The sequence below is a fragment of the Homo sapiens genome, chromosome 16 (genome assembly GCF_000001405.40).
Source record: "Homo sapiens chromosome 16, GRCh38.p14 Primary Assembly".
Lineage (NCBI taxonomy): Eukaryota > Metazoa > Chordata > Mammalia > Primates > Hominidae > Homo > Homo sapiens.
This window is the reverse complement of record NC_000016.10, coordinates 71908221-71922409: the sequence shown is the minus strand read 5'-3', so window position 1 is coordinate 71922409 and position 14189 is coordinate 71908221. Positions and strand designations below refer to the sequence as shown.

General features: G+C 42.5%; 1 protein-coding gene across 6 annotated transcripts in view, besides 1 other annotated feature; it reads right to left on the bottom strand.

Moving 5' to 3' along the window:
* Positions 1–14189, bottom strand: part of IST1 (IST1 factor associated with ESCRT-III) — a 36792-nt gene that overhangs the window by 8790 nt on the left and 13813 nt on the right. For 4 of the 6 annotated variants that reach the window (NM_001270976.1, NM_001270975.2, NM_014761.4 and 1 more), the window contains 5 exons: positions 6682–6784; positions 5768–5948; positions 5276–5363; positions 1588–1671; positions 957–1067 (listed from right to left, as the gene is read on the bottom strand). In NM_001270976.1, the coding sequence (NP_001257905.1) occupies positions 957–1067; positions 1588–1671; positions 5276–5363; positions 5768–5948; positions 6682–6784 (567 nt within the window). The remainder of the gene's footprint in view (positions 1–956; positions 1068–1587; positions 1672–5275; positions 5364–5767; positions 5949–6681; positions 6785–14189) is intronic. The other 2 variants (NM_001270978.2, NM_001270979.1) reach the window with 2 other exon arrangements.
* Positions 2898–3077: an enhancer, noted in NCBI's record as "active region_11088". NCBI's record gives its function as "activates an Ori minimal core promoter by ATAC-STARR-seq in GM12878 lymphoblastoid cells {active_cell/tissue: GM12878}" and the evidence as "EXISTENCE:reporter gene assay evidence [ECO:0000049][PMID:35858748]".

The window sequence follows — 14189 nt, the reverse complement described above, 5'->3', positions numbered from 1 at the left end:
AGTCTGAGATGGAGATTAGCATAAAGCAAGTTTACTGGAGTGCTTCTGGGATCAACACCTGTGGGGGAAGAAAAGGCAGAGTTAGGTGGAAGGAGAAGTTGGGCTGCAACACAGTCACAACAAAGGCCTCAGCCAATTCCCCAATGACTTCTGCAGCTGGAATGGACCTGATGGTGTTTCCAACTGTGGGTAATAGGGATGTCTGAGCAGTACACACCAAAGCATCCACCACACCCCACTGACCTTAACTGGCGGATGGTTTTTTTTTTTGAGACGGAGTCTCACTCTGTCACCCAGACTGGAGTGCAGTGGCACAATCTTGGCTCACCACAAGCTCTTCCACCTCCTGGGTTCAAGCCATTCTCCTGCCTCAGCCTCCCGAGTAGCTGAGATTACAGGTGCCCACCACCACACCCAGCTAATTTTTTGTATTTTTAGTAGAGACAGGGTTTCACCGTGTTAGCCAGGATGGTCTCGATCTCCTGACCTTGTGATCCGCCTGCCTCGGCCTCCCAAAGTGCTGGGATTACAGGCGTGAGCCAGCCACCGCACCTGGCCAACTGGTGGATGATTTTTTATCCCTGTATCCTCAGCTTTCTGTGCACTATCAGACACATGGTGGGTACCCAATAAATGTTTCGGGAACTGTTTGGGTCTTGGGGCATTTCTTGCTATGAACAGGAGGTTTCTCAATTCCTGAAGTTCACCAAAAAGTAGCAATAATAGTGCCATTTTACATTTGTATCAAGGTTTTGACCTTCTCAAAGTGTTGTCATTCATCTAATTCCTTAAGTACCCTGTGAGATATGCAGGCACATTTATTGTCATAAAGGTACTAACTGGACAAAGGCTTAAACTCACACAAATTTAAGTTAGTGCAAAGAATGTTTTTTTTGTTTTCCAAAGAAGGTCATACCTACAAACTCATTTTTCTTTGTATTCTGGGATAAACTTACCATGACCACAGAGTCAGGTTCATAGGGTACGTTGTAATTCTTTGCAATTTCAATCAGGTATCTCTCCACCAGGATTTTGGGTGGGGCTTCCACACTCAGCTTGTGCATTAGCTGTAAGTAAAAAGACCCAGGGCTAAGATGCATGTATACCAACCAGCCTAATCCTCACCTCACTATGCGAAGTTAGCTCCTCTCATTTTACAGGTAATATTGAGGGAAAAAAAGGTTCAGAGCAGTTAAATGATTTTTTTCAGAGTCACAAGACACATCAGAGGACCCAAGTCTCTCTTTCACATTCTCATTACACATGACCCAGATGCTGGCAAAAGATGATACTGCTGCCTTCCACAGTTCAATTCATCCACCCTTCTCCCCACCTCACTTCCAACCTTCACAAATGACACGAGGCATACAAAGTGGGGAAGTGGAGTCAGGAATGACAGTAACCAGAGGAATTGGGCAGGTGTAAGGATTGGACCACACTGCCAGCCACACAGCTGTCCTCCTCACCCCACTATGAAAGGTGAAACCCCATACTGAGCAATACAGTGGTACCCACTAGAATTGCCACAAGCAGTACAATAAACTGCTCCCACACACTGCCTTCATGTTTACCAAGTATGTTCATTACCCTGTCATTCACAGTTCCAATCTGGTTGGTCCTACATAGCTTGCCATATTCCTTGCTATACTTGGCACAGAGCTGATCAGCAACCTAAAAAGAAAAAGGACAGCAAATAAAAATAGAGACCACTCCAACGGACTGCTTTAAGCTTCTTCCTGGCAACAGTAAACACGCGTCTATTACAAGATTTCCAAAACACTGGAGTCTGCAAAACCTTAAGGGGTATGCATTAATCCACTATTTGTTCATCCATCCATCCATCCATCCAATGAGCAGCACTCGAGTGCCAAACACTATCATGAGTATTATACAATATAAATAAAATGAACAAAACAGATACTGTTCTTACTCTTATAGAGTCTTACATTAATCAAATTGTACAAAGTAAAGTTTCCTCTTCAAAATTTCCCTTGTTAAAGAATAAATCATAAGTGTTAGAAATAAGCTTCTTTTAAAAGACTAACTTCCTTCAAGCCTCCTTGCTTTGTGCTAATAACTCTTTGTTAAGCCGTATCCTATGTAGCTGTTAAATATAAGAAATACATTCTATGTCCTTGTACTTTAACCAAGATATCTGTGCTAGATGTGCTCACAGGCAAGTCCCAGCTCGCAGCCTATGCCCCTTCCTTATTTGGGAATGTTAGTACTTTTCTAAGTCTTCTCATAAGCAAGTTCCTCTTTTCCTTTGTTCTCCCTTGCATATATCTATTTTAAAAACTTTTAAAACCTTTAGCCAAACGGGTGTAGCCCAGACTGTGAGGTCCAGTTCCAGCCAATGGAATCAGGACACAGCAGTAGGGTCCAGATGTGTAGGATATAAATATTTTTACCCCCTTTGTTCAGTGTGCGCTCGCCATTGTTCCATCTGCAAGGAGCACCCTTTCTGCAGAAGGTAAAAATTGCCTTGCTGAAATAAATTTATATTTGAGTGCTATTTCTCTGTGGCACTGGGGAACAAGCATTTCTAACAAAATAATCACACAGATAAAGGTACAACTGCAACTACAGTAAGTGATACCAAGGGAAGGTGCACCATGCTATCACCAGCTTCTAACAGCAGAATCAAATCTGATCAGAAAAGTCAGGTAAGGCTTCCTGAGGGAAGTGATGCTTTGCTGAGATTTAAAGGATGACTAAGGCCAGGCATCGTGGCTCATGCCTGTAATCCCAACACTTTGTGAGGCTGAGGCAGGCTGATCACTTGAGTTCAGGTGTTCAAGACCAGCCTGGGCAACGCAGCAAAACCCTAGTCTCTATTTTTAAAAGATACAAAAATTAGCTGGGCATGGTGGCACGCACCTCTTGTCTCAGCTACTCAGGGGGCTGAGGTGGGAGGATGATCAGTTGAGCCCAGGAAGCCGAGGCTGCAGTGAGGCAAGATCGTGCCACTGCACTCCAGCCTGGGTGACAGATCAAGACCGTCTCAAATAATAAATTAAAGGATGACTAGGAGTTAACTAAATAGGGAAGGAAGCACATTCCAGGAAAAGAAAACAGCAGTGCAAAGGCCTCTGGCAGAAACAAACATGGTCAGTTCTCAAGCCTGCAATCAGCCAGTGAGCCTCTAGTGCAGAGGCCAAGGAGTGTGGTAAGAAATGAAAAAGGGAAGTGGGAGCCAGACAATGCAGGACCATGTAGGCTGTATCAGGGAGTTTTGTTTCTATCACAAGAGCAACAGAAAGCTACTAATGGGCTTTAAAGCAAGAGGTCGTGACAGGATCGGAGCTGTGTTTTGGACAAAACCCTCAGGTGGTTCTGATGGAATGGTGTGAATAGATTAAAAGAAGCCAAAGTAGGAATAGGAAGAATATTCAAGAAGCTACTCTCATTTCCAGACAGGAAACGACAGTAGCATTGGACCAGAGTGGTCCCAACATTCCAGAAGCCCAGTAGGAGAGTTCTCACTGTTCATTATGAAGACTTTCAGGGGTACCTGACACCTATGATATAAATGGCATTTGTCTTTTATGGTTTTTGTTTTGGCTGGTTTATACTACACAGAGATTTTTTTATTCACATTAATTTATCACTCTGTTTATGGCTTTTGAGTTTTGTAACATATTTAAGCCTTTTCCAAAATTAATTTTAAAGGAGTACAGAAGAGACCAAAAACGGCTCAACATGGTGGCTCACGCCTGTAATCCCAACACTTTGGGAGGCCGAGGCAGGCGGATCACGAGGTCAGGAGTTCGAGACCAGCCTGGTCAACATGATGAAATCCCGTCTCTACCAAAAATACAAAAAATTAGCTGGGCATGGTGGCGGGCACCTGTAATCCCAGCTACTAAGGACGATGAGGCAAAAGAATCGCTTCAACCCAGGAGGCAGAGGTTGCAGTGAGCCAAAATTGTACCACTGCACTCCAGCCCAGGCAACACTGCAAGACTCCATCTCAAAAAAAAAAAAAAAAAGCCTACATAAGAATCAGTTGCCTCTACTGTCCCTCTTCTCTGCCCACAAAACTCAATTACTATCCCTGGTACCCTATTGGACTATTGGAAGTTTATTCTCTGGGGGGAGTTAACTAAAGCGACTCGAGTCTACACACAGGAGACAACAGTGATACTTACAACAGAAGAATTAAGTGTAAGTCTTCTATGTATCAAATAGATTTTTGGCTTCCTTCTCCACTGGGCTCTCAGAAATGCTGGCAGCCAGCTTATACACTCGACAGAAGATAGGAGGATTCTGGAGAAAACGACCAACCCAAGGAAAGATGACTAGTTCCTCACAGTCTGGAATTCCTCCAAATAAGAGCTTAACCAGATCACTCAGCAATGAAGGCATCTGGCAGTAAAAACCCACCCATGCACACGAGAGGTTCCAATCTCCTTTTTAGTGCCTCACTCTTAAATGTAAACCGACAGCCAAGGACCACTAAATCTTTGGAAAGCCTCTACTATAAAACTAAGAAATAGGAAAAATGAACTTGAGAGAAACAAACATGACAGACGTTTAAAAATAAACCATAATTAATATCCTCAGAGACTTAGAAAAAATTGTAGCCATGAAACAAACCATAAAAAATATTCAGAGAATTAAAAAGAGCTCTTGAAAAAAACCTAGAAAAGAAGGAAATCTCAGTAGATGGGTTGAGAGATAAGAATGACACAGTCTCCTAGGAAATAAAACAGAAAGGCAAAGATGTAGAAAATAGAAAACAACACAACTGAATTTGTATCCTAGGAGTCAGTACCATATCCATGTTGTGATGTGCAATTTTCTGGTTAATGTCTGTCTCTTCTGCTAGACTCTAAGCTACAGGAGTATGGCTGGTGCCATATTTTGTTCACCACTGTTACCCCCAGCACTTACATAGCTCATACAATTTATTTAATAAATATTTGTGGAATTAATAAATAAAGCAAAAACATCTGTCACCTTAATGTTATTTTAACTTTACTGGTTTACAGTTGTATAAGAACTTTTCTATTTGCATAGAGTTAAATAACATTAAGACAAAACTGGAGATACACAAAACTTTGCTCCTTAAAAAAACTGCTCAAGTTTGCAAAACACTGTTCTATTCTACGATATAAGGCTGAAAGGGAGAAACAAATTTACAAAACCTATTTCAAAAGCAACATAAGAATGGTACAAAATATCTGGTCAAATCAGCAGAAGTAACTTATATTAACCAACCTTTCTAACAATATGAAAAGCTACAGACATCACTGAAACTACTTGTACTCACTATTTTCAACTCAGCCACTTCTGACTGGAGTCGAGGAGCAGCCCAGATCAATGTAGACACAGATTCAGCCAGACCAGAATCTAGTTCCCTAATCAAGGAAAAAAATTAATATAACATTCTTTAAAACAAACCAACAAAATCCTAGCTTTTGTTTCATATACTTTATAGCCTCCAAAGCCATTCTGTGAATCTCACTAGATTCTCACAATAACTCTAGGCTTCTAGCCATTTTCGTGATCTTATTTTACTTTTGGAGGAACTCAAAACTAGGCAACAAGCTCAAGGCCATGAACTCGGAAAATGGTCGAGCCAAGATTCAAATTTAGGCTTCTCAGTTTCAGATTCTGTATTTTCTTTTTAACAGGCCTTTCAGCAACTGTTAGGCAGCAGATCCTTGGGCATGTGAAATAGTCCCTTAATGCAGAAAGAGATCATATTACTCCTTTCTCAAATTCCAGAAATGATTTAGGTCTCTGAATCAAAATATCTTACTTCATAGACTGGATAAGGCCAAACCGAGCCAGCAGCAGGTCACAGTACAGCTCCAGGATCTCCATGGCCTCCACGAGGTAGTCTTCCCGGATAATGTGCTCCACACGGATCCGAGCTCGTTCATCTTTCCCAGCAGCCAGATAGTCAGCAATCTCCTTCCTTGCTTTCTGGGCCAGTTCCGCTAAGACACAAATCCCACTCCGATCTCACAGCAGTAGAGCACTTGCATCTGGCCTACAGGCCAATCTCCCCCCAACAGGAAGAACTGGGTGTTTCTACTATATCCTAGCTCCTCTCCTTTAGCAAATCTAATCCCATCCCCTCTACTGTAGAATTTGCTACTCTGTCTAGGTGAGAAAATATAGCTCATGTGGCTTGACATTTCCAACTCAAGAGTCAGGTGACCTAATGCCACAACAACAGAGTATGTCCCTTTCTCTGCAAAAAAGGTACTCAGTCTAAAAGTCACAAAGGGCAGAAATGGATCCAAAGCTTAAAAGATATGATCCCAGGGCGGGCATGGTAGCTCACGCCTGTAATCCCAGCACTTTGGGAGGCTGAGGCAGGCAGATGACTTTGAGGTCATGAGTGCAAGACCAGCCTGGCCAACGTGGTGAAATCCCGTCTCTACTAAAAACATGAAAATTAGCCAGGTGTGGTGGCACACACCTGTAATCCCAGCTACTTGGGAGGCTGAGGCACAAGAATCACTTGAACCCACGAGATGGAGGTTGCAGTGAGCCGAGATCACACCACTGCACTCCATCCTGGGCGACAGAGTGAGACCCTGTCTCAACAAAAACAACAAAAAAAAATATGATCCCTAAGACTTCATAGTACTGGCCTGAAAGACCCATTACTGGGGTGCTAGTATCCAGTGATTTATTTTTGGGGAAAAAAAGTACACTACTCACTTTTCTTTTTCTCCAATAGTTTAAGGCGATTTATGACTAATCTCAAATTCACTCTTAAGCGCTCAGCTTTAAATCCAGAGCCCAGCATGCTGTGCTGTTCCTCCTAGAAACAGAAGAAGCACAATGACTATTTTCAAGTCAACATTAGTTCAGGAACTAACACCTCTTAGGGGTGAATTATGTGAAACAAAAACAGAGTGTTTTTCTAATACAGGAAAATGACATGATCTAATTCACATTTTTTACAGATTGTTTTGGCTGTTGTAAAAAAAACTGATTGGGGAAGGATAATACTGGAAGCAGGAAGACCAATGGGAAGGCTATTATTATCATCCAGACAAGAGATGGTAATAGCTCAGACTAGGGTGGTTAGCAGTGTCAGCAACTGGATTTGAAATCTACTTTAAAGGCACAGCTGAAAGAATTTGGTGACAGATGAAATTAATACCTAGATATTGGCATGGGGGTGGTGTGATAAAAAGATAAAGAAGCAGAAGGGCTCCCTGCTTCTCCCAAAAAAATCTCAACAGGGATGGCAATGGGGGAAGATGATTAAATTTAGACCCATAATTGAAAATATTTTCATCTTAACTCCCCAAATCCTGCCAACAAGTCTCAGTTTTTGGGGAAAAGCTAGTACCCAAGAGTACAGAAATATCATTGACATCTACTCACATACAGGGTTACACAAAGGGGTGAAAAGTCCAAGGAAAACACTGCTCTACAAAATTCTACAACAGAAGGCTCTTTACCAGGAATTTCACTGAATAGCAGAGTTACAGTAAACAAAACCACCCGTCCTCTACCCGCAAGACTTTAGGGTATACCATTGTGCACTGACCACTGTGCATTCTATTTCAAAACAGCACAATTTCTATTTCTCTAAATTTAAATTCTGGACTCAAACTTAAAAACATGTAATATCCAAACAAAAGATAGGTCAAACAAAGTAACTGAAGAACAGACAAATCAAAAGAGCACCAAAGAAAGAAAGAGCAGTAGGAATAGTACTTGTCTACTAGTGAATTAACCACTAATAAAAAACATCAGATGTGTTTTCCTTTTGTAAAATTGCCCCCAAAAGCCTTTCTTTACCCTACATTTAAGAATTAACCTAAGTCCCAGGTTAAAATGGGGCATTTATGTCATCAAGTATCTGGAATCCAGTAATTAAATTATGTTCAATCCATGCAATAAGTATTTACTGATTACCTGTATGTGAGACATTGGCTTGATGGAGATAAAAAGCATAAATTAAGGTACACTCCTTGCTGGGTGCGGCGGCTCACATCTGTAATCCTAGCACTTTGGGAGGCCGAGGTGGGCAGATCATGAGGTCAGGAGATGGAGACCATCCTGGCCAACATGGTGAAACCCCATCTCTACTAAAAATACAAAAAAAATTAGCTGGGCGTGGTGACGCACACCTGTAGTCCCAGCTACTCGGGAGACTGAGACAGGAGAATCGCTTGAACCCGGGAGGTGGAGGTTGCAGTGAGCCAAGATCGTGCACTCCCGCCTGGAGGAACAAGACTCTGTCTCAAAAAAAAAAAAAAAAGGTACAACCCCTGTCCTCAAATGAACCTGTATTCTACTGGAAAAACAACAAACAACAAAAACCAGCCGGGCGCAGTGGCTCACGCCTGTAATCCCAGCACTTTGGGAGGCCTAGGTGGGTGGATCACCTGAGGTCGGGAGTTCGAGATCAGCCTGACCAACACGGAGAAACCCCATCTCTACTAAAAATACAAAATTAGCCAGGCGTGGTGGCGCATGCCTGTAATCCCAGCTACTCCGGAGGCTGAGGCAGGAGAATTGCTTTAACCCAGGAGGCGGAGTTTGCAGTGAGCTGAGATCACACCATTGCACTCCAGCCTGGGCAACAAGAGTGAAACTCCGTATCCAAAAATAAAAAGCTAAATAGTAGGGTGTGAGTGTGGTGGCTTATGTCTGTAATCCCAGTCCTTTGGGAGGCCAAGGTGGGAGGACTGCTTGAGCCCATGAGTTCAAGACGAGCCTAGGCAACATGGAGAAACCCCATCTTTACAAAAAATACAAAAATTAGCCGGGCGTGGTGGCATGCACCTGTGGTCCCAGCTACTCGGGAGGCTGAGCCGGGAGGATTGCTGGAGTCCCAGAAGCAGAGGCTGTGGTGAGCCAAGATCACACCACAGTATTCCAGGCTAGGTGAGAGAGCAAGACTCTGTCTCAAAAACAAACAAACAAAAACCAAGAGCTAATTGCATGTAAATGACTCCTGTAACTCAATAACAACAACCTGATTAAAAACTGGGCAAAATACTTGAAGATATTTCTCCAAAAATGATATACAAGTGGTCAATAAGCATATCAAAAGTGCCAATATCATTAATATCTAGAGAAAGGCAAAATGAAATCACAATGAGATACCACCTCACACCCATTAGGATGGCTACTATCAAAAAAAAAAAGAAAATTTCAAGTACTGATGAGGCTGTGGAGAAAATGGAACCCTTGTGCACTGTTGGTGGGATTGCAAAACGGTACAACCATTATGGAAAGACAGTATGGCGGTTCCTCAAAAATTAAAATTAAAAATGGAACTACCACATAATCTAGAAATCCCACTTCTGGTATATATCCAAAAGAACGGAAAGCAGAACTTTAAAGAGCTATTTGCATACCTATGTTCCCAGCAGCATTATTCACAATGGCCAAGAGGTGGAGGCAACCCAAATGGCCACTGAGGGATTCATGGATAAACAAAATGTGGTCTACACATACAACAGAGTACTAATCAGCCTTAGAAAGGAAAGGAAATCCTACCCATCACATGCTACAACATGGATGAAATTTGAGGACATCATGGTAAGTGAAATAAGCCAGTCACGAAAAACAAATACTGTAAGATTCTGCTTTTGTGAGGTATCTAAAATTCAGAGAAACAGAAAGTAGAATGGTGGTTACCAGGGTCCGGGAGTAGGGGGAAACAGGGAATTGTTTAATGAGTACAGAGTTTCAGTTTTGAAAGATGAAAGTTTATGGAGATCTGTTGCACAACGATGTGAGTACACACTACTGAACTCTACACTTAGAAACAGGCAAGTTGGTAAATTGTCATGTTGCCATGTGTTCTTCACCACAGTTAAATTTTTAATTCTCAAGAGCTAAAATAAAACTATTAACATAGGATAAACATAAAAGAATATTTTAGGCCGGGCGCGGTGGCTCACACCTGTAATCCCAGTACTTTGGGAGGCCGAGGTGGGCAGATCACGAAGTCAGGAGATCGAGACCATCCTGGCTAACACGGTGAAACCCCGTCTCCACTAAAAATACAAAAAATTAGCCAGGCATGGTGGCGGGCGCCTGTAGTCCCAGCTTCTCAGGAGGCTGAGGCAAGAGAATGGCGTGAACCCAGGAGGCGGAGCTTGCAGTAAGCTGAGACCGCGCCACCGCACTCCAGCCTGAGTGACAGAGCGAGATTCCGTCTCAAAAAAAAAATTTTTATAATGGAGACAGAACAGGCCTTTTTAAGAAGAGACATAAAATTATTTTGTATGGAAAAATTACCTAAACTATAAAAAAATTAAAAGGTAAGCAATATTTGGGGGGAAATCTGCAATGGAGATTATTCTAAACTTGATCATGATGATGAGTGAGAAAACTGGTGCATTCTCAAACTCCTGCTGGAAACGTAAATTGGCACCACCTCTCAAGGTCACTCTTTCAAACTTCCAAGTTTGGCCGGGAGTAGTGGCTCACACCTGTAATCCCAACACTTTGGGAGGCAGAGACTTGAGCTCAGGAGTGAGACCAGCCCGGGCAACATGGTGAAACTCCAACTGTACCAAAACTACAAAAATTCGCCATGGCATGGTGGTGCGAGCCTGTAGTTCCAGCTACTCCGGAGGCAGGAGTGGGAGGATCACTGGAGCCTGGGAAGTCAAGGCTAACGTGAGCCATTACTGTGCCACTGCACTCCAGCCTGGGCAACAGAGCAAAACCCTGTCTCAAAAAAAAAAAAAAAAAAAAAAAATCGAAGTTTAAATGTCTATCCTGAAGAACAGTTCACATTCACATGTATACAGAGGGGAACATACAATGATAAAATCATCTAAATTCCACCAATTAGAAACTGATTAAATTAAGACACATCTATTTTATGGGATACATGGCAGTAGTTTTGTTTTGTTTTTTGGTGTTTTGTTTGTTTTTGAGACAATCTTCACTTTGTCGCCCAGGCTGGAGTGCAGTGCTGTGATCTTAGCTCACTGCAACCCCTGCCTCCCAAGTTCAAGCAATTCTCTTGCCTCAGCCTCCGGAGTGTCTGGGATTACAGGCGTGAACCACCACACCTGGCTGAACTTTGTATAGCAATAGTTTTTTTTAAAAAAAGGTAACGTAGCATTCTAAAACATTTTAGCACAAAGCAAGCACTCAGATAATAACTGCCGAACAAATGAAAGGGAGGAGCTCCAAGATGTGTTACTTTTATTGTTTTGTTTTTGACGTAAGAGTCTCACTCTCACCCAGGCTGGAGTGCAGTGGTGCAATCACCGCTCACTGCAACCTCTGCCTCCTGGGTTTAAGCTATTCTCCTGCCTCAGCCTCCCAAGTAACTGAGATTATAGGCACACACCACCACGCCTAGCTAATTTTTTGTATTTTTAGTAGAGACGGGGTTTCACCATGTTGGACACGCTGGTCTTGAACTCCTGACCTCAAGTGATCCACCCACCTCAGCCTCCCAATGTTTTTTTTGTTTGTTTTTAAATCAAGCTGAAAAGTAGCATACACATTATAATACTACTTTATACACATATATAAATGCATGGAGAAGGGGCCTATAAAAACAGGTATTAACATTTTAATGGTGTTAACTCTGGAAAGTAGAGCTGAAGGGAAGCCTCAGTATTTTCTCTTTTATACTCCAAATTGATGAATATTTACAAAAATGTATTCACATATACTTGAGTAAGAATATTTCTATTAATACATAACCACCCTTGCCCTTATGAAGTACAGTAGTACCCCCTTATCCAAGGGTTACGTTTCAAGACCCTAGTGGATGCCTGAAATCGCAGATCATACCGAATCCTATACATAGTACCTTTTTTTCTTTTTTTTCTTTTTTTTTTTTTGAGACAGAGTCTTGCTCTGTCACCCAGGCTGGAGTGCAGCGGCACAATCTCGGCCCACTGCAAGCTCCGCCTCCCAGGTTCACGCCATTCTCCTGCCTCAGCCTCCCGAGTAGCTGGGACTACGGGCGCCCGCCACCACACCCAGCTAATTTTTTATATTTTTAGTAGAGACGGGGTTTCACCGTGTTAGCCAGGATGGTCTCGATCTCCTGACTTTGTAATCCGCCTGCCTCGGCCTCCCAAAGTACTGGGATTACAGACTTGAGCCTCCACACCTGGCCAGTACCATGTTTTTCAATCTGATATCCAAGAGGGCTAAGTGACTAATGGGCAGGTAGCATACACAGCGTGGATATGCTGGACAAAGGGGTAATTCACATCCCAGGTGGGATGAGCAGGATGGCACGAGATTTCATCAAACTACTCAGAATGACACACAATTTAAAATGTATGAACTGTTTATTCCTGCAATTTTAGACCACACTTGACCAAAGTAGCTGAAACCCCAGACAATGAAAACATGGATAAGGGAGGACTGCTGTACATCAAGGCCTTTTAATATATAACCAAGATAACAAATCAACTCCCACACAATTTATTTTTATCAGTAGTGACTGAAATTAGAAGACATTAACCTAAGGAACATTATCCAACTTGCCGTTAAATTACTCAATATACCCATGATTAATAAGGTAATTAGGTTTAAAAAGGTACAAAAAATATTCCTGAGTATGGCTCTATCATGGGTCCTACAAAGATCTTGCCCTTAGTAGACAACTACTCCAGCTTAAACACGGATACACCAAACTTGTCAAGTAAACAGTGACATTTCTAAGAGAAGGATAACCTAAGGCGTTATTCTCGAGTTTTCATTTACTATTTTGTATAATCCTAGAAGTGAACATGTTAACAAAGATAAGATTATACCTGCCAGACTGGCAAAAATTAGAAGTAGACTTTCAAATACTGGCCAATATAAATGTATAAACTGATATGATCATTTTAGACACTAATTTGGCAGTATTTAATGAAAAGTATGCTTTAATGAAAGGTACCCATATACCTTAAGACACAGCAATTCCATTCCTGGACACGCACCACCACAGAAATTTGTACACAGCACCATGAAGACGCATGTATGCATTTTGTGGTAGTAAGGAAGTAGAAGAATGCTAAGTGTTCATTTCAAGAGGACAAATGAGGCCAAGTACGGTGGTCCATGCCTATAATCCCAGCAGTTTGGGAGGTCCGGGCAGGAGGATCGCTTGAGGCCGGTGTTCAAGAACAGCCTGGGCAACATGGCAAGACCCTCTCTACAGAATATTTAGAAATTAGCTGGCTGTGGGGGTGCACGCCTGTAGTCCTAGCTACTTGCAAGGGTGAGGTGGGAGGCTCACTTGCACCCAGGAGGTCAAGTCAAGGAGGCAACAGAGAGCTATGTTCATGACACTGCACTCCAGGCCTGGGTGACAGAGTGAGACCCTGTATCCAAAAAAAAAAAAAAAAAAAAGACAAACAAAATTTGACAAAAACATGACAGAATACTATGCAGCAGACAAAATTAAACAGCTGTACTTAAAGCAACATGGATGGTCCTTAAAAATAGAAACAAAAGATGTAAGGAACAGGGTTCTAGGTTCAGTGTCTCTTTCACTGAATGAAGCTGTAAAACCTGAACAGAATGCATGTAGCAGCTATCTGAGAACTATGAAAAATAATAGCAGATGGATGAAGAAGACCACAATTTGAAGTACCAATAAACTGGCGGCGAGTTTATCATTTTTCCCTCTGATGTTCCCCAGCCTGGATGCACAGCAGGCTGAAACCCGGAAATGAGCATCAGCAGAGAGAAAGAGCATCAAGAGCTCTCTAGTCCTGGCTTGAGGAACTAGAAAGGGGACCGCTGGTATAGACAGAAAGTGGGTGATACTCACTGGGAAAATCTCAACTCACACATCAACCTGAGACAACACCAATGTTGGAATTAACTGACAAAGACTTTAAAGCAGCTACTATAAAAATGCTGGCTGGGTGCAGTGGCTCACACCTGTAATCCCAACACTGTGGGAGGCCAAGGCGGGTGGTATTCGAGACCAGCCTGGCCAACATGGTGAAACTCTTCTATGAAAAATACAAAAATTATCCGGGCGTGGTGGCACACGCCTGTAGTCCCAGCTACTCAAGGGGCTGAGGCAGGAGAATCGCTTGAACTGGGGAGGCGGAGGTTGCAGTGAGCCGAGATCGTGCCATTGCACTCCAGCCTGGGCGACAGAGCAAGACTGTCTCCAAAAAAAAAAAAAAAAAAAAAAGCTACAACGAGTAAGGGAAATTTCTCTTGAATGGAAAGATTAAAAAGTAAAGACAGGCCAGGCGCAGTGGCTCACG